Below are 25,487 nucleotides of genomic sequence, written 5' to 3'. Positions count from 1 at the left end.
TGCCTTACTTTCGGGGCAAGGGACAGGGAAGAAAATAGGAAAGAGGCATTTACTGCTATTTGTGGGGAATGCTTTTTAGAGAACATTAAACAACTTGTGCTACAATAAAAAACATAAAACACACAGACATTTAGCTTGTTAAGTGAGGCAGATCCAGTATTAAGGATACCTTAGACTGAGACTGCAAAATAGAATGTCCCCAAAGTTCAGACCGGCAATCAAAGAGCAAAGCAGCCTAAATGAGGGGTGGTAGCAACTAGGTAGGAGATACCTCATCTAAAATGGGCAGCTGCCCATTGTTACAAGTGACTGTTGCTCGGTCCAAGAGGACAAGTCTTCCAGTTTTTTTTTTTTTTTTTTTTTTTCATGACAAGTCAGAAGCCTTCATTTTCTGGGGAAACATCCAGGTTTGTCATGTTGGCAGACAACTGTATTTTTAGCATAATGGTGAAGAGGAGGGGATTCTGGAATGAGACAGTCTGGATTTGGATGTTAGTTCTGCTAACATTTGGGAAGTGTTACTTCCTCTTGGTCTCAGTTTTCTCATCTGTAAAATGGGGATAATAACTGCCACCTACCTCATGGAGTTGCTTTGAAGATTAAATGAAGGAACACATGAATGTGTGTAAAATAATCCTGACACATAGTAAGTGTTCAATAGCCATTACTGTTACCTAAGGCTAGGTAAGGCCAGCCGGTTGTCAGTTTCTGACCTCTGCTGTAGGCAGAAATGATCTGTGGAAGGCAGGATAGAAAAATGGCCAAGGGCTTTGGCTCTGAGGCAGACTGCATGGGTTCGAATCCTGTTTCCTGTGTTTGCTGGAGGCTGTCCGAACTTGTAAGTCACTGTATGAAGTCTCAGCTTCCTTATCTGGCAAACAGGGATAGATAATAAAGTACCCGCGCTTCACAGAATGTTGTGAGAATGAGATGAAATAATTTATGTGAAGCAGGTACAATGTACAACGGTATTTGGCATATGGTAAGGACTCAGGAAATAGTAATAGTCGTTACTCATGTTATTGGTTAAGTTGAATTTTCCCAAAGTCTTTGAATTTTAAATCCTTTTTTGTTTTTCAAAGCTACCTTTTAAAACGACTCGTCTTATTTCCTTTTGCCATGGGCATTTGTGCCATGGGCATTTGTGCCATGGAGATAGCTTTATTTTTTTATTGGTTAGTTATTAACTATAAGGAGTTCACTTTTGAAAACTGATTGCTTCACCTCTGAAAATTACTCCTTAAGGTGCTACTTCAACTCTTACAATTGTTACCAAATGAAAACAATGCTGCAGACAAACAACTCTGTTTGTGTAGGTGACGCACACTTAGGAGTGAAGGTTGCTGTAATCACCCTTGTGGTGACGTAATGTTGATGTTTAATACTTTACATGAAACACAATTGTTTTTGTAATACATAAATAGCTGACAATGTCCAGTTTAAGGGAATCTGCAGTTCAAATGCCCAGGACATCTCTCTCCATTAAAACATGCAACTGGGCATGGTGGCTCATGCCTGCAATCCCAGCACTTTAGGAAGCTGAGGCAGGAGGATCTTTTGAGGCCAGGAGTTTGAGAACAGCCTAGGCAAGACCTAGAGTGAGACCATGTCTCTAAAAAGAAAAAAAAAATTTAATTAGCCAGGTGCAGTGGTGTGTACCTATAGTCCTAGCTACTTGAGAGGCTGAGGCAGGAGGATTGCTTGGGGCTAGGAGTTGGAGGCTGAAGCGAGCTGTGATTGCACTACTGCACTCCAGACTGGATGACAGGGCAAGACCCCATCTCAAAAAAAAAAAAAAAAAAAAAAAGAGAGAGAGAGAGAAAGTAGGAGATTTAAAATAATAATAATTTTAAATGCCTGAAAATCTGGGTGCATTTTATAGAACACACTTCAGGCAAGCTAAACGTGTGCAAATGACATGAGAATGGCCTTCTGCAGTGGAGTTAGGAGGGTGATTCCTTGGTTCAGTCAATCAAAATTCTCACATATGCAAAACTAAAGGAGGTTTCCCAGTTTGCCTTATGGTGCAGCTCACATTTGGGGGGTGTCCTAGACTGTCTGCCTTGCTATGAAGGAACACCCGAGGCTGGGTAATTTATAAAAAAAGAAGTTTATTTGGCTCACAGTTCTACAAGCTGTACAAGAAACAGGACACCAGCATCAGCTTCTGCTGAGGGCCTCAGGAAGCTTCCACTCATGGTGGAAGGCAAAGAGAAGCAGGCATCACACGGAGAGAGAGAAAGGAAGCAAGAGAGAGAGAGGGGAGGAAGGTGCCAGGCTCTTTTCAAAAGTCAGCTCTCACAAAAACTAATAGAGTGAGAAGTCACTCATTACCCAGAGGACAGAACCAAGTTGTCCATGAGGGATCTGCCTCCATAACCCACACACCTCTCACTATATCCTACCTCTAAAATTGGGGATCAAATTTCAATATGAGATTTGGAGCAGACAAATATCCAAACTATATCAGGAGGTCATTGTAAGTCTTTTCTCTAAAACAGACAGAGAGCTTCAACCAAAGCACCACAGCTTCCTGAAAACCAAAGTGCATATATCACTAGCAAAGGAAAACGCATTTCCTGTAAAATACTCATGAGAGAAAGAATATAAATTATACTAGAAGTGTCAACAGGTACACACTGCTAAAAGTAAACAAGCTTCAAGTCACCAGAGTTCCTCTACAACTTACTCATGACTTTCAAATGTCCTTTTTAGTGCATGGAGAATCTTATACAGGCACACATTGACAATATTGCAGGTTCAGTTCCAGACCACCACAATAAATATAGCAATAAAGTAGCTCACGTGAATTTTTTGGCTTCCCAGTGCATATAAAAATTATGTTTTTTAGACATAATGCTATTGCATGCATAGCAGACTACAATATAGTGTAAAAAACGATGTACATACTTAAAAATACTCGATTGCTAAAAAATGCTAACAATTATCTGAGCCTTTAGCAAGTCACAATTGTTTTGCCTTAACAGTGATGGCTGCTGATGGATTGGGGTGGTGGTTGTTGAAGGCTGGGCTGGTTGTGGCAATTTCTTAAAATAAGACAATGAAGGTGGCTGCAACAGTTGACTCTTCCTTTCATGACAGATTTCTCTGTAGCATGCAATGCTGTTTGATAGCATTTTACTCACAATTTTACTTCTTGCAAAATTGGAGTCAATCCTCTCAAACCTTGCTACTGCTTCATCAACTCGGTTTATGTAAGATTCAACATCCTTTGTTATTATTCCAACATTGTTCACAGTATCTTCACCAAGAGTAGATTCTATCTCAAAAAAAAAAAAAAACACTTTGCTGATCCATAAGAAGCAACTACTTATCTGTTAAGTTTGATCATGAGATTATGCAATTCAATCACATCTTCAGGCTCCATTTACGAGTCTAGTTCTTTTGCTATTTCCACCGCATCTGCAGTAACTTCCTCCACTGAAGTCTTAAGCCCCTCAAAGTCATCCGTGAGGGTTGGAATCAACTTCTCCCAAACTCCTGTTAATGCTGATATTTTGACTTCCTCCCATGAATCATGAATTTTCTTAACAGTGTCTAGAATGGTGAATCCTTCCCAGAAGGTTTTCAATTATCCTTCCCAGATTTATCAGAGGAATGCCAGCTATAGCTTTACAAAATGTGTTTCTTAAATAATAGGGCTTAACAGCAGAAATTACTCCTTGACCCATGGGCTGTAGAATGGGTGTTGTGTTAGCAGGCATGAAAACAACATTAATCTCATTTATCTCCATCAGAGCTCTTGGGTGACCACATGCATTGTCAATGAGCACTGATATTTTGAAAGGAATCTTTTTTTTTTTTTCTGAGAAGGAGGTCTCAACAATGGGCTTAAAATATTCAGTAAACCATACTATAAACAGATGTGCTATCATTCAGGCTTTGTTGTTCCATTTATAGAGCACAGGCAGAATAGATTTAGCATAATTCTTAAGTGCCCTAGGATTTTCAGAACGGTAAATGAGCAATAGCTTCGACTTAAAGTTACCAGCTATATTAGCCCCTAAAAAGAGAGTAAGCCTGTCCTGTGAAGCTTTGAGGTCAGGCATTGACTTCTCCTCTAGCTATAAAAATGCTACATGGCATCTTCTTCCAATAGAAGGTTGTCTACATTGAAAATCTGCTGTTTGGTGCAACCATTTCATCAATGACCTTAGCTAGATCTTCTGGATAGCTTGCTGCAGCCTCTGTATCAGCACTTGCTGCTTCATCTTGCACTTATGTTATGGAGACAGTTTCTTTTCTTAAATCTCATGAACCATCCTCTGCTACCTTTCAACTTTTCTTCTGCAGTTTCTCACTTCTCTCAGCCTTCATAGAATTGAAGATTTAGGGCTTTGCTCTGGATTAGGCTTTGGCTTACAAACATTAGGGAATGTTGTGGCTGGTTTGATCTTCTATCCAGACCACTCAAACTCTCTCCGTATCAGCAAGGCTGTTTTTCCCTTTCTTATCATTCATGTGTTCACTGGAGTCACATTTTAATTTGGTGCAGGATCTTTCTCTCTGCATTCACAACTTGGCTATTTGGCACAAAAGTCTTGGTTTTCAGACTGTCTTTGCTTTTGATATGCCTTCCTCACTAAGCTTAATCATTTCTAGCTTTTGAATTACAGTGAGAGATGTGCAACTCTTCCTTTCACTTGAACACTTGGAGGACGCTATAACTTTATTAATTAATTTCAATACTGTTGTGTCTCAAGGAATAGGGAAGCCTGAGGAGAGGGAGAGAGATGAAGGAATGGCAGGTTGGTGGATCACTCAGAACACACACAACATTTATTATGTTCACCATCTTATATGGATGAGGGTCATTGTGCCCCAAAACAATTACAATAGTAATATGAAAGATCACGGATCACAGGTCACTATGACAGGTATAATAATAACAAATTTTCTTCCTTTTTCTCTTTATTTTTATATCGTTTCTTTTGTTTTTTATCTTAATAAATACTTTTGAAAGATTGCAAGAATTACTAAAATGTGACAGAGACACGAAGTGAGCACATGTTGTTGAAAAAATGGCACTGGTAGACTTACTCAATGCAGGTTTCTACAAACTTTCAGTTTGTAAAGACATACCATCTCCAAAACACAAGAAAGTGAAGCCCAGTAAAACGAGGTATGCCTGTTACAGCTATTTGGGAAAAGAAATGATGGATATGACCTGGTATTCTGAGAACCATTAGGCTGATAGATATAGGGTCCTGCTTTCTCATATCAAGTTCTACTCTGTGACTCACCAGGTAAATCTATGGCTGGGCCCTCTCCAAATCTCAAATCATTGAAAGTGGGTTGATATATTGTGAAAGAGCTATGCTTTGCAACTGAAAGTCATCAGAAACTTTCTAAAAGAGATTTCTTCACTAGATAAGAATCTCCATAGCTTTTTGTTTTATATCTCTAGTTATGGATATTATGACTATATGTAAACTCATTTTGTTTTCTCTGAGTCTGTGTATCATTTAAATATTAAAAAGAGCAATGGTGATAATTCCATTGTCAGTTACTGTGATGTCATCCCTCCCAAATATGGGGGTTATCTGGGGTGCAGAAGTCAGAGGTGGATGAGATTAAAGTGAGGTTCCCTCTGGAAATATTCTAATGTAACCATCCAGCCTCCTTCCTCTCCCCTCCCCTCCAGAAGGCTAATGATTTTAAAACGCCCAAATCCAATAATAGATATCACTTACTTTCGGGGATGCACATACCAGAGGAAGTGCTGGGGATAAAGGAAATCTGTGAATCAGAGAAAGATGTTGGTATGCAAGATTGAAGATAGACCAGCTGGCCCACTGCTTCAGCTGGTTTCCAGAGGCCAGGAAGAAATTAGTCTCACAGTTCAGTTGAAAGAACACCTGGCCGTTCACCCAGGGGCACAAATTCACTGTTGAACAGGGTTATCTTTGTTTCCGTACCAAACACACCTAGGAATTAAGTTATTTAAAATCCTGTGACTCTCATTGTCCTAAATTGCTCGCCTACATGAAATCAGGAGGTAGAGAAGGGTGGAGAGGAACTGGAGGTAAAAACGTTGATGTCAATAGGACTGATTTTTTTTTTAACAGGACTGATTTTAAAGGCTAGAATGGTCTTCTCCTGACTATTACAACTAGGTTTGAGGGTGCCATATTGATTTCCCATATACATTTTATTGAAGATTTACTAATATGAAGAGTTAGGATGGGAGAAATTGCATTTTTTGTTTGTTTGTTTGGCTGGTCGGTTTTTGAGGCAGAGTCTTGCTCTGTCACCCAGGCTGGAGGGTAGTGGCGCAATCTTGGCTAACTGCAGTCTCCAACTCCTGGGCTTAAGGGATCCTCCCATCGCCTGAGTAGCTGGGATTATAGGCATGAACCACCACACTCAGTTAATTTTTTTACCTTGCAGAGATGAGGTCTTGCTATGTTGCCCAGGGTGGTCTTGAACTCCTGGCCTCCAGTGATCCTCCTGCCTTGGCCTCCCAAAGTGCTGGGATTACAGTCGTGAGCCATGGTGCCCAGCCAAGAATTGTATTAAAGTGCAAGAACTGGCACCCTAGCAACAACTAAAAGGACCTATTAGAGCTACTGAGGCTTCATGGGATGGCTACATTAGCTCAATGTTCCTCTGTCTTTTAGGGTATGCACAAAGGTCACTACAACAGTCAAAAATAGACTCCAGTTCCTCATTGCTATGTAAGTTTATGAGTATGGGAAACATCACTTTACAGCTGAACCTTCAACCCCGACACTTATTTCTCTTTCTCTGAAGGGGGGTCAGGTTGAGTTTTGCCACAAAGCACTGAGGAGTGTGGCTGGGTAGGCCGAGTCACAGAGGGAGTTACATGACAGGAAAGGAGATGACTTGCTGAATTCAAAGCAGAAAAGCCAGATGCGTATCTTGGACGTAGGTGGGATAGGGTAGTAGTGGTGGAGCCAGCAACTTGTGAGGCAGAATGTGCTGGCAACTACTATTGGCACAAGACTTGGTGGGAAGCCTGGCGGACAGAGGCTGGAACACACCCTGGGAACCGGGCTCTTGGGAGATATCATCTGGGAACCAGTATCAGGCACTGATCTCTGGAAAAACCCAAACCTGCTGAATTCGATGCTCATTTGTCCTTCTTTCCAGTAAATTCTCACTCCCTTTTCTTGATCCGTTTATAGGCATCCACCATTGTTTTCTGCTCCTATCTCTCAGTTTGCCAAGACTTGCAATATGAGTTTTGTTGCTTTTAAATTCAGGTATAGTTTTACACATTTTAAGAGTAGTTTGATGAACGGAAAATAAGTTTTTAAAATTTAGATTATCATTTTAAACTTGCAGAGAAGTTGTAAGAATAATACTCCAAAACACTCATATACCCTTTATCCAAATTCATCTATTACTATATTTCCTGCAGTATTTTTTTCCTTGGGCCATTCACTACTAGGTTCAAACACCACAGTTTACAGCAGCAGAAAAAGGGGTCTGTTGCATTCCATGGCATTTGCTTAACACCCACCATGTAACAACCCAGTGCTTGGTGCTATGCCGAGTTCAGGATGACAGTTCCTTTCCTCAAAGAGTTTGCAATCCCATTGTTAGTTACCATCAAGTTGGCCACTGCCACACTCAAGTTGCTAGACTTTTTTTTTGGGGGGGGGACAGGGTCTTTTTCTGTCACTCAGGCTGGAGTGCAAAGGCATGATCATAGCTCACTGCAACCTCGAACTCCTGAGACCAAACAAACCTCCTACCTCAGCCTCCCAAGTAGCTGGGACTACAGGCACATGCCACCACATCCAGCTAATTTATTATTATTATTATTATTATTATTATTATTATTATTATTATTATTATTATTATTTGTGGAGACAGGGTCTCACTTGGTTACCCAGACTGGTCTCAGATAGACCTCTTGAAAATAAAGTCTGAGCTTTGGAAGATACCTGTGTGGATGCCGGAGTGGGTAAGAAATTACAAGAAACTGTAGTTCCTAACAAGGGCAATAATTTGGCAAGCCAGCATTTCCCCAAATAGGTCAAACAATATCAGTAACTTGGCATATTAAGATGCATTAAGTGGGGAATGCAGGGGGAAGGTATTTCTTGGTCAAATACTTTTTGGAAATTTTATTTAGACAATGTTTATCACCTGCAGTTTTCATTGCAGTATGACACTGGTTTAGCTCACAGAAGTAGAGTTCCATTGAAGATCCTTTGGAAGTATAAACGAAGCTTATACACTTAAAGAAAAAAAAAACAGAAAAAAAATTGTGAGGTAACATACACAATATCACAGCCCGAGTCCTAAGTCCTGAGTAGAGACATCAAATAAAAGGGGATGATAAATGACACAAAAAGCAGGAAACTCACATTGAAGAAGTATAGGAGTATTTCTGTGATGTTGTCGGTGGGTTCATTAGTTTTCAACAATATCACTATTCCTACTTAGAAACTGAGATTGGCCCTCAAATACTCACTGGATCAGGTCTAGACGTATCAAAGGTAATGGAAGGAGTTGGAACCTACATTTATGGAGAATCTATTAAGTGCTAGGTGTTTCTTAATTGTCAACAACTTGTAAAGGAGCAGGTGGCTTCTTTGGATTGTCTGCCTGATTCTTGGGCACATCCTTTGCACCAGCACAGGGGTGGACACAAGCAGGGACTCAATGGCTGTTTCTGGAATGACAATGAATCCCTGTTTCACAGTGTGACAATAAAGTAATCAGATGAATTTCCATAGCTGAGTTTAATTGTTAGTCCAAAGAGGTCATTCACTGGTGGCCAATAGCCTGGAGACAGTGTTTTATTTGGCTTGTAGAGTAATTTAAAATAAAGCAACCACCTTTACAAGTTGAGAGATTTTTTGACCAAGTCCAGATTTCAAGCTTCTTTGGCAATACCAGAAGCTCTGGCGACACAGGACCAGCATTCCCTTAGGGTCACAATCAATGGGGAGTAGGGTGATGGCTGTCTGCCACTGTCCCTACCACTTTCTTTTATCTCCACGCCACTGGGGCCATGTCTCTGTTGCCAGTGATCCCTGTTTTGGTATGCATGGGCACTGCAGGCATTGGAGCTTGTGACTTCTGATCTATTAATAACAGTAACTAATGATAGCAATAATTTTACATACCTTTATATCTATTAATTCATAAGCCCACCTTAGGAGGTGGGTACTCTTATATTTCCATTTTACAAAAGAGCCAAACAGGGAAAGGGCAAATAACTTCCTCCAGGTCTCAGATCTAGTAAGTGGCAGAGTGGGCTCTGAACTCAGAACACCTGGCTCCAGAGTCCTGCTCTTCACCACTGTCTCTACTACACGACCATTCTTTTTTGTTTTTTCTTTTATTTTTTAAATTATACTTTAAGTTTTAGGGTACATGTACACAATGTGCAGGTTTGTTACATATGTATACATGTGCCATGCTGGTGTGCCGCACCCATTAACTCGTCATTTACATTAGGTTATACGACCATTCTTTTTCACTCTGAATTGTTTTCAAATTTTTCACGTATGTACACCTCGTATCCCCCAAAACCATATCGGCCTTAATAGTATGAAATGCATCCTATTTCCTTTGTATTTCACTAAGCAAATTATTTTTAAAATACCTTTTTATTTCATTTGATCAGGACGATCTGTGTAAGGAGACACATTTCACAATTCCCCTAACCTCCATCAGGAAACCAGCCAAAGTCTGGCTCACCCAAAAGCAAGCCCGATGTTGACCAAAGCTGCCACAGGCTAGCAGCCCCACACAGTTGAGAATGAAGGTCTGCCTTTCCATTTCTCACAGTGACAAACACCATGGGCTTGCATTACACATACTCCAGGCTGATGACTGGAATACACATATATTAAGTTTCATCAATCGCTCACTTGGTTCAGTGTGGGTTTACCCAAACAGCGGGCTTGGAGCCTATCCTTTCACTTAAATTAGTTCTAGTTCTCTGCAGTTTTGATTTACTGAGAAAGCTCTCTCTTTATCTACTAGTGGCATAAGAGTTTTGTCTAGGCAGAAACTGTGGTTGGTGCAATTGGGCCAGTTGGGTCATTCAGCATTTCCATGTGGGATAATGACTAGAGAAAGGGATTTTAATTCTCAATTAGTCCATATCAGCAAAGGAAATGTATTTCCCATTATTTCTTTACTGTGGGTTCTGATTCATAAAATATCTTAAGGAAAACACATTTTACGTTACTGAGTCTTTGATTTCCCAGGGAAACTAATAAATAATCAACAAAAATATGATTAAAGACTGCTTGAACTACCATCCGAAAAGGAACTCTAGCCAGCAAAGAATCTTTCTGATCCAAATCTTTTTATTCCTAGAAACAGAATTCTTACTTAGCCTTTCAAAAGCCTGATGAAGGCTTCAGCTAAGTTTTGACATAAGATTTTCATATTCAAAATATCTGTTGAAATAAGGGGAGAAGGGAGATGATCTTGAAACTGCATTAGTCTGAAATAGGGCTTAGTAAGCTAGAAAGGGAAATTACTTCTCTGTTAATTGGAATTTTCTCCTAAAAAATCCCTTTGAAATCATGTTCAGCTACTTTCCCATCATATGTCCCAGAGAAGCTAACTTTAACCCTTTCTGGAACTGCTCATCATAAAAATTATTTGATATTTATCAATTGCTCTGGGAGGAAATTCTTGAACAATAATCTGTGTCATCAAATAACTTAATAATGAATTAGTAGTTCATAAGAGTCCTAGATACAGTAAAAAACAAAAAACATTTCTAGGATACTTCTTCCCACCAACACATTGATGCTTACCTTTATATATTACATTAATCTTGGCCAAAAAGTCCTAAGGCAGTTGCCAGAAAACTCTCCAATCTGGGTTCCTTTGCCTTTGAAATGATAAAACCAAATTCCGCTCCAGTCCACTTGTTAACCTTAGACTGTGGCTTCTTTGAAGGCAAGGATTATGTTTGATCCTTTTTGTATCTTTAATGACAGTATATAGTAGTTGTTTGATAAATACTTCATGAATCATGAATGAATGAATGAGAGCTAGTTGGGTAAGCTTGGCATGCTACTTAACTTCTATTCTTCTCAGGTTTTCTCATCTGTAAAATGGTAATCATATCTTCACCAAAGAACTCTCGTGAGGTTTAAATGAGATGAAAAGTAATATGTATTACATGTATTTGGGACACAGCTATGTTATATAGCCATTAATATACTAGGATAAGTAATAATATAACAAGTGTACACACACTGTGTGTACACATACATATATGTATATTACATATTTTAAAAATATATTTATATATGTATTATATATTTATTTCATATTTTAAAAAATTTATATATATAAAATAAAATCTGCTGGCCTTCATAGGACTTGGCTTAATATTTTTATTTTATAAAATAAAAATATATTAATTTAATAATATAAAATAAAATAAAAATATTAAGCCAAGTCCTATAAAGGCCACTAGAAAAATGGGATAGAAAAAGGTTCCCCTTCCTTTAACATCTATCTTAGCTATGAAGACAAGAAACCTGGCGCTGCCTAGAGATATCCCATAATGCTAAGGTACTCCAATGAATTTGTTTCTTTTTTTTTTTTTTTTTTTTTAGACGGAGCCTCGCTCTGTGGCCCAGGCTGGAGTGCCGTGGCGCGATCTCGGCTCACTGTGAGCTCTGCCTCCCAGGTTCACACCATTCTCCTGCCTCAGCCTCCCAAGTAGCTGCGACTACAGGCACCTGCCACCATGCCCGGCTAATTTTTTGTATTTTTAGTAGAGATGGGGTTTCACTGTACTAGCCAGGATGGTCTTGATCTCCTCACCTCATGATCCGCTCGCCTCAGCCTCCCAAAGTACTGGGATTACAGGTGTGAGCCACTGTGCCCGGCCACTCCAATGAATTTCTACTTCATCAAGCTACACAGATAGCTTCATCCTATTAGAGTTGGTGCCTGATATCAAAACCAAGAAAGAGGCCCTTTGGCCTATGGGAAAATTCTCACATGTATGTGTGACATGTCCCATTTTTGAATCTGTCCTCTCTTTTTACTGATGTAAACTCATTAAATGGCATGCGGTCCCTAGCATGGGCGCTTCATAATTACTTGACAGCTATGCTCTAGTTCCATGGAGTAGCTTAGTTCATAATAATGGTGAGCAAACATCAAATGCGATTTGAAAGATATTTTTTTCCACTGACTAATCCAACATAGGATATTCTGCTACTTTACTTGCTAAATTAAAAAAAAACCACGACATTTATTTATTTATTTATTTATTTATTTATTTGCAGGGTCTTGCTCTGTTGCCCAGGCTGCAGTGCAGTGGGTCCCTTCATAACTCACTGTAGTCTGGAACTCCCAGGCCCAAGTGATCCTCCCCCCTCCGCCTCTCAAGTAGCTGGGATTACAGGCGGATGTCACCATGCTCAACTTGCTTGCTAAATTCATAATACGGTCTTTTCCCTAAAGACGTACCATGCTAAGTAAAAATCATCAAGCATTTTCTAAGCTGATTTCTTAATTATTTTTAAAAGTTGTAATGCAATAATAATTATCTATTATCCAGAATTGAAAGTAAAGTCAGTTTGGGTACAAATCCTTTTGTGTTTCAACAAAAACTCTGGAAGAAAGTCATTGAAAAACATGGAGTGTCATACAAATATAAGGTAGTATACACTAGTCATATAAGATAATCTTATTTTACCTTATCAAAAATTGAGGGACTAAAAGGACAGAGAGTACTGTTCTCTGTTTCAGAGTAATATAATGTTCTCACAAAAATTATATTTGTTCTTAGAAAGTAACAATATTAAACATGGCAACCACTAAAGAGATGTCTCATCATCTTTTTTTAAAAAGACTATAAAATGTAAAACAACTTAAGATCTTTTTTTAATAGCAAGGCTGTCAACCATAGGTTAAATAAGAGTTTAGATGACATACAGCCCTTCTTTTTAAAACCTAAACTATTTCTATGATATTTCCTAGGACAAGATTGCTATAGAAAATTCTATATGGGGAGGTTGGGCACAGTGGCTCTTGCCTGTAATTCCAGAGCTTTTGGAGGCTGAGGCTGGAGGATCACTTGAGGCCAGAAGTTTGAGACTGGCTTGGGCAACATAGCAAGACCCTGTCTCTATAAAAAATAAAGAACAGATTTTAAAAAAGGAAAGCTCTATATGGAGATGTAGCCTAGGGAAATGTAATACCAGAAAAATCAACATAAACCTCATCTTTCTATATGTGCTTAAAGAATAATCAAATATAAGTGGGTGACAATAATGACAAGTAATGTAAACAAATTAAATTACTTTTTAAAATATAATAACAGATGTTGGCTAGATCCTTTCTTCTTCCCATAGTTGCATATGTAGGATATCATGATCCCATTAGGGGCTCATACCAACAGCTCCTGGAGGAGGCCTTCTTTCTCACAAATTTCTGCCCCTTGGCATCAGTACTAGGCCATGAACTCCTGAGGGCAGCCAGTCCCAAGCCCCAGAGTCCCTCCTGCCATCCAGAGTTGATAAAAGGCAGGAAAGAATACTGTTATCTCTTTAGTTCTTCCCAGAATTCCATAAGGGGTCACTGCTGGGGATCTTGGGTTGGTATTTCTGGGAAAAGGGAAACATCTATTTCACAGTCTTTCTCTTTCCCCAAGGACCCAGTACAAGGCTGCATGCAGAATGGTAGGAAAGCTGGCTTCCCACACCAGAGCCCCCCAGGGGAGGATGCACCAAGGTGAGCCCACCTGACCCCCAGGGAAAGTCAACAAAAGCCTGTGCTTTTTAGGGTAATTCTATATTTAACTTTTAAAAAGGGTCTTCTACACTATTTTCCAGAGTGGCTGCACTATTTTACATCCTCACTAGTAATGTATGAGGGCTCCAATTTTTCTCTATCCTCATCAACACTTGTTTTTATCTGTCTTTTGTAGACACAAGTTTCTACGACAGCACTTAATAAAATTTTAAGTATTGCTGCTTTAAAAAATAATTGTAAAAGGCCATCGCTGCTTATTAAAAGCTTTGAAGATCTGAAGTGATTCTGGAATTCTAAAGGGTAATGTGACATCAAGAAGTAGAGATCTCTTTCCATGAAACTGTCCCTAAGTGGCAACGCCTGTGCTGCTTTCCTCACAGGTTTCTCCACTTCTCTAGAAGGTTGGGCAGGTGCTAGGAAGGTAACCTGCAAACACTTCCCAACACTTTTGAGATGAACAGAAAGTGGAGTTACCTCGTACAATAAGCCAAGCATGAAAGTATCAGGTGCCTAGGAGGAGGCTCTCTAAAATCCAATTTGGCATCTTGATAGCTGAGTCATTTGAGTTTATAAATGACAGTCAAGTGTGTATTGTGGCCAGACACAGTGGCTCATGCCTGTAATCCCAGCACTTCAGGAGGCCGAGGTCGGAGGATCACTTGAGCCTGAGCCCAGGAGTTGAAGACCAGCCTGGGCAACATGGTGAGACCCAGTCTCTACCTCTAAGTGGAAAATAAGAATAAGGAGGCTAAAGTGGAACATATATCTTTGCTGAAAACTTGATAAACATGCATTTAGCTTTATAACAGATAAAAGGACTGCTGGACACTGTCAATGTCTTCTCCCAAATCTTCTCCCAACCAATTGCCTTTAGGTGGTAAAAGCATGCATTCAAGTAGAAAGCTGCTGTACCTTTCCTCGGGTGTTTGAAACAAAATGTGACTAATCATCTGGCCCAAAGGAAGCCCCTTCTGGGGCCTATAAACAGTTTGAACGAGAGGCTGGTGGCTTGCACGTTTTCTGAGAGTACAATCTGTTGATCACAAACTAATCACCCAGGTCCCAAGGGATGCTGGGATGCATGGAGTCTTGTGAGGCTGTTCAGGAGCCTTAGAAGTAGATTGGACTAATAGGCTGTCCCATTTCCAACTCCATTCTGACCATTTCAGAGACCAACTAGAAGAGCAAAAACACAAAATCCAATGAATTTTATAGATGAGCTCTATCCTATGCTTGGAGAGTAGGGGAAAGGGGAGGGGTTATCCGGTTCTAAAATCATTAGAGAAAGCAACAGTTAGGAAAAATCAAAATTATACTCACAAACCACTTAAATGGAACACAAATATTTACCTGTCACTTTGTAACCCACTATATCACTTTCAGTATGTGTAATACAGCTAGGTTTTCCTCCATCATTAGAATAGATGCTTCTTAGGTTAAGCACCAAAGGAAGTAGTTTCCTTATGTTTAGGGGCCTCATGTTGTACAGAAAAGAAAAATCCACAACCAACATATTCATGGTACGGAATCATACTCAGAAGACGAAGATACCACCCTCTGAGAGGCATGCACAGACTTCCTGACTCCCGTTTCACACCTACTCCAAGGCAGGTGCTCACGGAATAGAATGGCACGGAAAAAACTATTTAAATTGTGGTTGCAATTCCTTCCTTGCACTTTCTCTCATTTAATATAAGCTAGTTAAAAATATGTATAATGCAATTCACTGAAATCAGTCTCAGAAATCCAAAGTTTGGCCAACAGTCATCTTTGCTGTAAGACCACAAAGGAGGAGACTCAACTGATAAAGAGACTTAAGATCCCAGAATTCAGTAATTAAATTCACAAGACTAGAAAAGGTCTTGGAATAGCCAAACTCCGAAGTGAAAAGCTCTTTAGAGCTCATCTAGTTTAAACCCCTCATTTTATAGCTGGGGAAAATGGGGCCCAGAGAAATAAAGTAACATACCCAAGATCACACAGCTGATGAATGGCAGGTCCCAGCTCAGAAAACAGACTTTCTGACTTCTATTTTATGTTCTTAGAAATTCTGATAAATCAAAGAAATACCTTAAATGTGAAAGTATGCCCCATGGTTCCAACTTCACTATTCATCATACATTATACCAATTAAAATGCAATATATGGGTGATTATTACCGTGCTTTAATCATATCGTGTTGTCTGAGACATACCGATGGACATGTGTTTTGGAAAATCAAATAAAACCACAGGGTTGGTTGTCACTGGCTCTATTTCTTTAATTTACATAGTCTCAGCTTGCCTTTGGAGAATTTACAGACTAAAGCAAAACTGTCCCTAGAGACACTGTGGAAACAGTTCTTACAACAGAGTTACTCTCTTTGTTGCTGCAGTCACTTATAATCAGAGAAATCAAAATGTTAGTATGATTCCACAGAATTACATGGCAACTTCGGTTAGACCAGAATGTCCCCCGCTTAGCAGTCCTAGGAATCACCATTAGCTGAGAAAACTATCCAGAATCCAGAATCTGACTTGAGCTCAAATGCCAAGAAGATTTCCCCCCTCATAAATACATCTGTTCTCCATTCTCTATTTCAACTCTCCTGTTTTTCTTTGAAATGTGAGTATGACTTCTGTGCCTGTTGACCGTTGGAATATACTTGCTTGTTTGCTTTCTCCTATGTTTTTCTCAATGCAATAACTTGAAATGTCAACATGAGGTGACAAGTAAATCCTCAGTCAAAATAAGTTTGCAACCAAACAGGAGAAAGAAAAGAAAAGCCACATAAAAAATCAGCTGTAGAGGCAATTGAATGGTGGCCAAACCCATGGCCAAAGCTCTAATAGAGTATAAACATTTATCATCATTCGAGATCATTCCTGTTCTCTTATTCAGCAGGCTGCATGCTGGATCCTTTCCTCTGGAACTCACCATTTGCCCTGATTTTATGTCTACTGCAACAAGTAGGAAACGGAAGATCACTGCTCACTGTCTGCATATAGACTCTGGCCTCGTTTCTCAAAGCCAGAGGCACCTACACAAAGAATGTCTGTCAATCCAGAGTGGCGAAGAACCAACTGTACTGGTTTTTAACATTTCCCTGTGGGAACGAAACCTAGCAAATTAATGATATCCTCTGCAATGGAGTACGGAGAAAATCCACTTTTCCATTCTTACTTGCCACAGAGCTTGGGAGAATCCAGCCAATTAATGGTACAATCTCTATTAGAGGTAAAATGAAGGTCAGTGAAGTTATAAATATAAAAGGGGACAATGCCTACTGGCCAGCATCCATCTGCTTCCATGGGGTCTTTAATAACTGTTCAGGGACTACCAAGCAAAAAATGTGCAGTACCACATTCTGAGAAACCCACCATTTTAAGTAGCTTCCTGATTTTCACTATAAATTCTACTCTTTCCTTTCTTGATTTGGTTGTGTCAGCCCTATGACAGCTTGTCTCCACAGGACCTAAGCTGGGAGAGATGAGTTACAAACCCAAATCCCAGTGTTTGTTAAGGGGATTTATGCATTAGGTTCTCTGAAACTTTACCCGGAAAGTCTTCCCCGTTCCTCTGCTGGGTTTCCGGAAGAGAGAAATCCCCTCTACGGATCTCCTTTTGACTCAGTGTTGGATACCAGCACATATAAATCCTGCCTAATGACTTCTGCCTGTGGCTGACAGGTTTTGGTCTTGGGTAAAAGCCGGGTTCTCAAAAGCTGCTTTTTGTTTATTTCTAAAGAGGATTTATTGCATGGCTTCTTCAGTAAGCATCAGCATTCCCCATGATGGCTGTCAACACCCTTCACTTACTTGGGTGCTCCACATGGAGGGATCTAATTCATGCTGTCAGACCTGGGACCCTAAACATTCCAGCATTTAGAGTTTAAAATCACACTGGGTAAAAATCTAAGGGTTCTGTTATGGAAGTTTCCTTTTTTGGAGGGAAAGGGTTACTTTCTTAACATAATCCACTCTTGAGATATAATCCTCTTGGTTTTCCTTTGATAATTTGTACAACTCAGGAGAAAGAAGTTACATACATGGGGACTATGCCTTATTCCTGGTCATAAGAATTGGTTCAAGGATGGACATATAATTCAATCAGACTAATAGTAAGAGGGTGGGGCTCCTGAGAAATAAGGTGTTTCCTCTTCATAGGAGTTGCAGTGTGAGGGCAGATGTGATGTCTATGGAGCTACAACCATCCTGCAACCAGAAGGAAAGAGGCTAAAGTTTCCAGGAGCCATGAGGAACATAAGAATAGAGCCAACTGAGAGGGCTTATGAGCAGTGAGATGGATCTTGGTGACATAGTTAATACCTGGATCAAGCTATGCCTGAAGCTAGTTAACCATGTACTTTTCAATTACACCAACCAACAAACTCTTTTTACGTAAGTCAATTTAAGTTGGGTTTTCTGTTCCTTATAAATAGAAGAACACTGAGGGATACCTAGATTCACTATGTAGATGCTGGTTTATAGGCTAAGTCTCTGATTGAGAGGCCTACCTTCTCCTGCAACACAGATACATGGTACTGTAAAAATTGTGCCATCTTGAAGATGACAAGTAGACACTAGCAGAAGTCCTTTAATAGCTGATCCCTTTTGTAACCTCAAGCACCTTGCTTACTTTGTCAATCATTCTCCTCTGTTGCTGTGTCTTCAACTGGTTTTTGTTTGCTTTTCCTCACTACTGCTTTTTGCCCTTGGCAAATAAATACACATGATCTTGACTCTCCCTTCTTGTGAAATGTCTCCCTTTCCCCATGTTCTGCTCTGATGCTACCCTAGAAGCGTACTTCCCTTCTCGGTCAAGTTTTCTGAAAGAGCGGTCTACATCAAGCCTTTCCAAGGCCTCAGTTCGGCAGATGGTTACATAAAAGAGGGGCCTATGGACAAATCTATCCTAGGAAGTGCGCTAGACAGTGGCCCCATCTTGGACAGTAACAATCAACATGGGAATATTAAGGGTTCTGGGAATTCTCACAATAATGAACACTATTTAATTTTCTATTATTTCCCAAATGTATTTGACTGTGGAAGTCACCTCCTGCTTTTATTATGCTTAAAATCAGAATGATGATTCATACTCATTGCCTTCCTTTCTCCCCTCTCATTTATTCACTCACAAATTTTTATAAAATATTTTTGAAATAACAAGTATAGAGAATAACATAACAGACACATTTGTAGCCATCAGCAGCTTTTTCCTAAAAAAAAAAAGATCCAAATCAAATATGGCAAAAATATTAAGAAGGACAGTTTCTGAATGTTCTATTTCTCTCATACCTCTCTGCCTTATAACACGTCCCCTCTGTTTTGTATACTGCACCACCCCCCCACTCCCACCCCGCCCCGCCCCTTCTTTCCTTGTCTTTCTTGGTCTGGCAAAATCCTATCCCTTCTTCAAGATTTGACTTAGCCATTATTTCTGCCAGGAAACATTTCCTGATTTCTCCTGTTCCCCAGCCTATCCAGGTTTTGTGGTCCTGATCTGATCTCCGATAGTACCCCAAACACACCTGATACGGTTTGGCTGTGTCCCCACCCAAATCTCATCTTGAATTGTAGTTCCCCAAATCCCCATGTGTTGTGGGAGGGACTCAGTGGTAGATAATTGAATCATGGGGGCGGTTACCCCCATGCTGATAGTGATTGAGTTCTCACGAGATCTGATGGTTTCTCTTTCTTTCTTTCTTTCTCTCTCTCTCCTTCCTTCCTTCTTTCTTTCTCCTTCCTTCCTTCTTTCTCTCCCTCTCTCTTTTCTCTCTCTCTCTCTCTCTCTTTCTTTCCTTCTTTCTTTCTTTTTTTTCTTTAGATAGAGTCTTGCTCCACTCCATTGCCTGGAGTGCAATGGCACAATCTCGGCTCACTGCAACCTCTGTCTCCTGGGTTCAAGTGATTCTCTTGCCTCAGCCTTCTGAACAGCTGAGATTACAGGCACCCGCCACCACGCCAGGCTAAATTTTTTTTGTATTTTTAGTACAGACGGGGTTTCACCATGTTGGCCAGGCTGGTCTTGAACTCCTGACCTCAGGTGATCTGCCTGCCTCGGCCTCCCAAAGTGCTGGGATTACAGGTGTGAGCCCCCGTGCCCGGCCTGAGATCCAATGGTTTTATAAGGGGCTTTTCCCCCTTTTGCTCGACACTTCTCCTTGCTGCCACCATGTGAAGAAGGATGTGTTTGCTTCTCCTTCTGCCATGACTGTCAGTTTCCTGAGGCCTCCTCAGCCCTGTGGAACTGTGAGTCAATTAAACCTCTTTCCTTTATAAATTACCCAGTCTCAGGCATATCAGCAGCATAAGAGCTAATACAATACCCCTATCAAAAGAGAGTGATCCTCATACTCTCAGGTAATTGTTTACTCACTAGTCTCCCTTACTAGGCTCCAAGTTCCTTAAGGATAGAAACTGCCTTTTATTTCTGCATCCTCAGAATCCTGCATAGTGCTAGGAATATCCAAGATTAAAATATAATGTTTCTTGAATGATGAATGCTCCAGTGTTACTCAGTGGGTCTTCCTTACACCTAACAGAAGAATAGAGGCCAGCCACCAAATTTCTTAAATATGATGTTGTCAGGACTTCCATATAGTTTATCCAGTCACCACCTTTCCTCTTAGGATGCTGTCTCCACTTTTATTTTTCCTTCTAAAAGTAACTGAATCAGTTAGGATGTGTCCTGTTTCAAGCAGCAAAAAACCAACCGTCAAAAGATGAAACCATCGGGGTGCTTCTTATTGAACCAGAAGTCTGGAAATGGGAGGTTTCAAGGTTGGTCATTGTGGACCCAGGCTCTTTCTATCCTGCTTCACCAACATCAATGTAATCACTTTTGTCCTCCTACCTGTCACCTCGTGGTGGCTGCTAAAGCCCCAGCATCATGTCTTGTCACTGTGTGCAAAGGCAGGAAGCCTCTGAAAGGGCAGAGAATCAGGCTCTTTTGGCAAACATGAGGCTCTGTCTTTTTACCAGGAAGAAAATCCTTCCCAGAATTCTCCTAGTGGACTTGGCCTTGTGTCTCACAGGTCAGAACTTGTCACACAGCCCCTGACTTGCAAGGGAACCCGGGAAAATGAGCATCCAGCAAAGGGGAACAGGAATTCGATGACTGGCTTAACCCAAGCGTGATTTACCATCTCAGGCTGGCAGAGGGACCCATCTTCCCCCAAATCAAGAGACCTCTATGCACCAGTTAAATAAAATTTGGATTCTCTCATTGGGGTGAAGGAGGCGGAGTAGGAACTGTGTTTCATATACATGGTCATCTCTGAAAGCTTTCCTCTTAATTTGCTCCATGGCATCATGTTTCATTTTAGTAAAGTTCACGCCACAGATAGCAGACAAAGCATGCCTGCCAGCATAACACTGGTGTGGCTGCCAGGGTACCTGGCTGTGAAACCAAAATATCAAGTTTCTAGCCCCGGGTCTCTCACTAGCCAGCCATGGGTTTCTGGTGAGCTCCCGATGGTGTCTGGGTTTAATGTTCATTAGCTCTCACATGAGGCTTCCTCAGTGGTATCGTGTGGGCTGACGAATGACTTTTAAAATGGCAAAAAAGCTTTCCCTCACTTAATTGCTTATGTTAGGCATCTGTTGGTATTTTTTAAGGGAAGAAAACATTCATTCATTGGCTAGTTACTATGCATCTCCCTGGTGGCAGTTGGGGACACAAAGCCATTTAAGACAACTTCGCCCTCAACGGGCTCACTGTTTGGTGAACGAGACAATCATATACACAAATAGCTAAGTTTAACATGATAACTGCAATGCTGAAGATCTGGAGACAGTGCCATGGTCTGGGGTGTGGGCAATTCGCTGGGAAGCAGAAGGATTCCAACAGGGCCACTGCATACAGCAGTACAGGCTGTTTTCCACATGCTGCATGGGTATATGAGGAAGCTCTGGATACAGAGTAAAAAATACCTCTTAAGAGGAGGCCGAGACGGGCGGATCACTTGAGGTCAGGAGTTTGAGACCAGCCTGGCCAACATGGTGAAACCCGTCTCTACCAAAAAATACAAAAATTAGCTGGGAGTGGTAGTGTCCACCTGTAAACCCAGCTACTCGGGAGGCTGAGGCACGAGAATTGTTTGAACCTGGGAGACGGAAATTGCTGTGAGCAGAGATTGCACCACTGTACTGCAGTCCGGACAACAGAGCGAGACCTTGTCTCAGAAAAAAAAAAAGGAGGAAACACTTGAGTTGACAGAAAGGAAGGGCACAATTTTGGAGACTATGACATGGTAAAGAAGAAATCCCTGAGGCCAGGCCTGGTGGCTCACACCTGTCATCCCAGCGCTTTGGGAGGCTGAGGCAGAAGGATTGCCTGAGGCTAGGAATTTGAGACCAGCCTGGGCAATACAGTGAAACCCTGTCTCTACAAAAAATAATTTAAAAATTGGCCTGTCATGGTGGTGCGTTCCTGTATCCCAGCTACTTAGGAGGCTGAGGTGGGAGGATCACTAGAGCTCAGGAGTTGGAGGCCACAGTGAGCTACGAGCGAGCTATGATGGTGCCACTGTACTCCAGCCTGGGGCAACAGAGTGAGACCCTATCCCTTAAAAAAAATTAAATAATAAAAAGAAAGAATCCATGGAGAGAACACAATATGAGCAGAGGAATGGAGACTGAAAAATACAGTGCATATAAAGTTTAAGAGATGCAGAATGTTCTGCAGCAGACCTACCATTGAAAGAAAGGGAGTGGGAGGGGGCTGTTCATAAAGGAAACAGGGAGAGGAGGCTGAAACGCATGTAAGGACTTTTAAAACCTGAACTTTTTCCTGCAGTTGGCAATTGAGAGTCAATGAAAGTTTTAAAGCATTAAAAGGAACTAGTTCCTTTAGAGGTTAGAGAGGCCAATCCCATTTGCAAATTAAATAACTACCAAATTGCAGCACTCCAAAAATTACTATGAACTAGGTTTATAAACACAAAGAGCTTATTATAATGCTAGAGAAATGACTGTCAACTGGGTTTCAAAGTTTTTAAGAAACTATGATAAAATGAATCCCTGTATTTTGTCCTTCCATAAAACTGAACAGGTTAGGGATATATCCCGTAAATCCTACAATTATTTGAAGCACAAAGCAGAGCTTTACTATGTTATCGCTTTTAAATAACACTTCACCAGATTCTGGTTCCTGAAACCACTTTTGGGAAAAATGCTTTCCTAAGTGACATCACCCCATTTTCCAAATAAAATGAAAAAAGAAAGGCTCATATTCAGAAGCAGCAGGCTACAAAAGGAGGATTGGTAGATCTTAAGAGCTTGCGATGGAACCCCTACTGCCTTGAGAGAAACAAAGAAATAAATTAAAAATATAAAACCCCCCAAATACACATAGTTGAGCTTAAAAGAGGTGGGCTGGTTTTCCCCAAATCCATTAATAATACAAATCACTGTATTTCATATTCACGGTCATCTCTGAAAGTTCCCCTCTTAATTACTCCATGGCTTCATGTTTTATTTTAGTAAAGTTCAGATTTTATTGCCAAAGACTAATGGGCAGAGTCCCTGAAGAACTTGTTTTAAAACATCGACCAGTCAACCATAAAAGGGATATTAAAACAGCTACAGAGGCTAAATAAGAATTAAAAAGTATGGCCACTTATTTTTAAATTAGAATCCTCTTTCACATTTAGGAATATAATAAAATGTGTCATAAACTTTCTACTTTCGTTCCAAAGTATTGTTGTAAGAACCGACAGTAATACAGACACAATCTTTCTATGGTTAAGCAGTACCCATTAAAATCAAGTGCTGTTTTTAAGCACGATTGAAGACATTTTAAAATTATAAATGATTACAACGTCATAAAAACCCTCCGGGGAGAGAACGAGAAAAGTAGAAACAGGGAAGGATCTAAATGAATAGGGCTGTTAATAAACTTCTACCATCAGTGGGTCAAAATTCCCAGGCTAAGCCGGGTCAAATCTTACTACAGTCCTAGACAGAACTTTTAGTTCAACAGGCATCTGTAAAATGTGTTCAGATGAGATTTGTCTAAATCACTGTTGAATCTTTTTGTGTCCTTCCTTATGGAGTAGATTCCAGTCTTGAACCTTCTTCATGACCATATAACACCATTCATTTTATTATTAGGCTATGTTCTTGTTTGGTGTCAATGATTAGAGATGTCGCCTCATTTTACAAGTGGGAGAGTAGCCAGAGGGGAATAAACCGCCCAGTCTTGCCTCAAGTTCAACATGAGTGGGGAACTCAGGTCCTCAATACTCTAATAATGGGTTACAATCCTTGCCTTCATCTGCTGGGCAAAGAGGAGGGTAGGAATTGTTCATCCGAGAGGGAACAACCACTGTGATAAGCTAGGCAGGACGCAATCACACACAGAATATGGAAATGACTTTTCAGGCTTCCTTCTGAAATAGGGCACCAGGCACGAAGAGAAAGATGGCTTTTCCCAACTGAAGTACTATCTGGCCAAATAGGACAGAGACAGGATGTCCAGCAGAAAGGAACCATCTTTTAGGAAACATGATCTCTGAAAAGACCTGAAACAGAGATCTCAGCAGAAATCTAGGTAGGTGCCAAGAAACCCACAAAAACAAAAAAGAGGCAGCGAGCTCAGGAGCGGGGTGGCAAAGAGGCCCATATACCACTCTATTTCCATTTCTGCAGCACCTTCCGTTCCTCTAAACAGGCTTAAGCAAAAGCATCTTGAACTGGTTTAGATTAGTCCCCACCAGGCACATTTGTAAAGATAAAAAGAACATGGTTGTTTTCCTTCCTCCAAAAGGGGGTTGGGAGGAGAGGGGAGGAGTGTTCAGCCTGGTCTCATGGAGGACAGAAAACAAGAAGAGTCAAGCACGTTCTTATGCCCACGTTTACAAACAATCCTGCCAGGTTGCTTTGAAACTTCTAACGCTCAAAGTCGTCCTTGTAATCCTTCTTGGTTACAGAGGCAGAGAGAAGCAAGGCAAGGGGGCTGGGTGGAGGCGGGGAGAAGTGTGGTTTTCTTCCCCATCCTACAGTTCCTGGCAGCAACTGGCTTGTGTAAACATTCAGTAGCCCAACTGAACCCTACTTCAGAACAAAACAATTTCAGTTTTAAAGTGTTTGAATGACTTCAGCTAAATCTGAGGATGTGCCTATTGAATCTGGAGCTGTTCCCTTTCAACTCTGAATGAAGGAAGAATTATGAGACTGGAGTTATTCAATGAGAGCTATCTGTCCTGGCACTCAATCAAAGGGATTAGGATTTGGAAAGAAAAGCCTACAGGTGATCCTCCAGGAAGCATACCAAGCAGTTATCAAAAACATACAAGTTCAAAGCAGCTCAATTTTCACATGTTAAATGTACTTGGATGCAGCCCCAGGCTCCTTTCTAGGTAAAAAATTGTGTTAAAGCTGTTTTGTGCTTGCATATTTAGCATACAAGGGAATCAAAGCACGGGGTGCAGTGGTGCTGGGTCCACTTCACCCTCGTGTAACACAGTAAATCAACCTTGTTTTCCTGGTGAAACACGATCTGATACTCTGTCCTGGCTTCTCCCGGCCATCATGGCAGAGACTCATTTACCTCATCAACATGAAAGAGCTGTCACAGCACAAACCCCGTGAGGTCAGACACCAGCAAGAGCAGCTTAACAATTAACAGTGCTTATTAATCACGAGGCTTGGGTGTTGTTTTCCCAAGCACCACGATCTGTGTCTAACAGTATATTACCTACTTAATGGCTTCACTTGGACATGCTGAAAACAAGGAAAATAAGGACACACGCTGAGATTTGG

General features: G+C 40.7%; 1 protein-coding gene across 19 annotated transcripts in view; it reads right to left on the bottom strand.

Moving 5' to 3' along the window:
- FTO (FTO alpha-ketoglutarate dependent dioxygenase) overlaps nucleotides 1-25,487 on the bottom strand; it is a 417,979-nt gene that overhangs the window by 105,284 nt on the left and 287,208 nt on the right. For 2 of the 19 annotated variants that reach the window (XM_011523314.4, XM_017023656.3), the window contains exon 9: nucleotides 1-25,487. This exon is cut by the window's left edge and continues 7,452 nt beyond it; it is cut by the window's right edge and continues 25,450 nt beyond it. The exons of 15 other annotated variants lie outside the window; for them this stretch is intronic. Coding sequence is in view for 2 of the 4 variants with exons in the window: in XM_011523316.4 (XP_011521618.1) it covers nucleotides 8,224-8,230 (7 nt within the window). In the remaining 2 variants the exon portion in view is untranslated. 2 more of the 19 variants (XM_011523316.4, XM_024450437.2) reach the window with 1 other exon arrangement.

The sequence above is a fragment of the Homo sapiens genome, chromosome 16 (assembly GCF_000001405.40).
Source record: "Homo sapiens chromosome 16, GRCh38.p14 Primary Assembly".
Lineage (NCBI taxonomy): Eukaryota > Metazoa > Chordata > Mammalia > Primates > Hominidae > Homo > Homo sapiens.
Note: the sequence above shows the minus strand (reverse complement) of the source record. Positions and strands in the feature narration are given on the sequence as shown.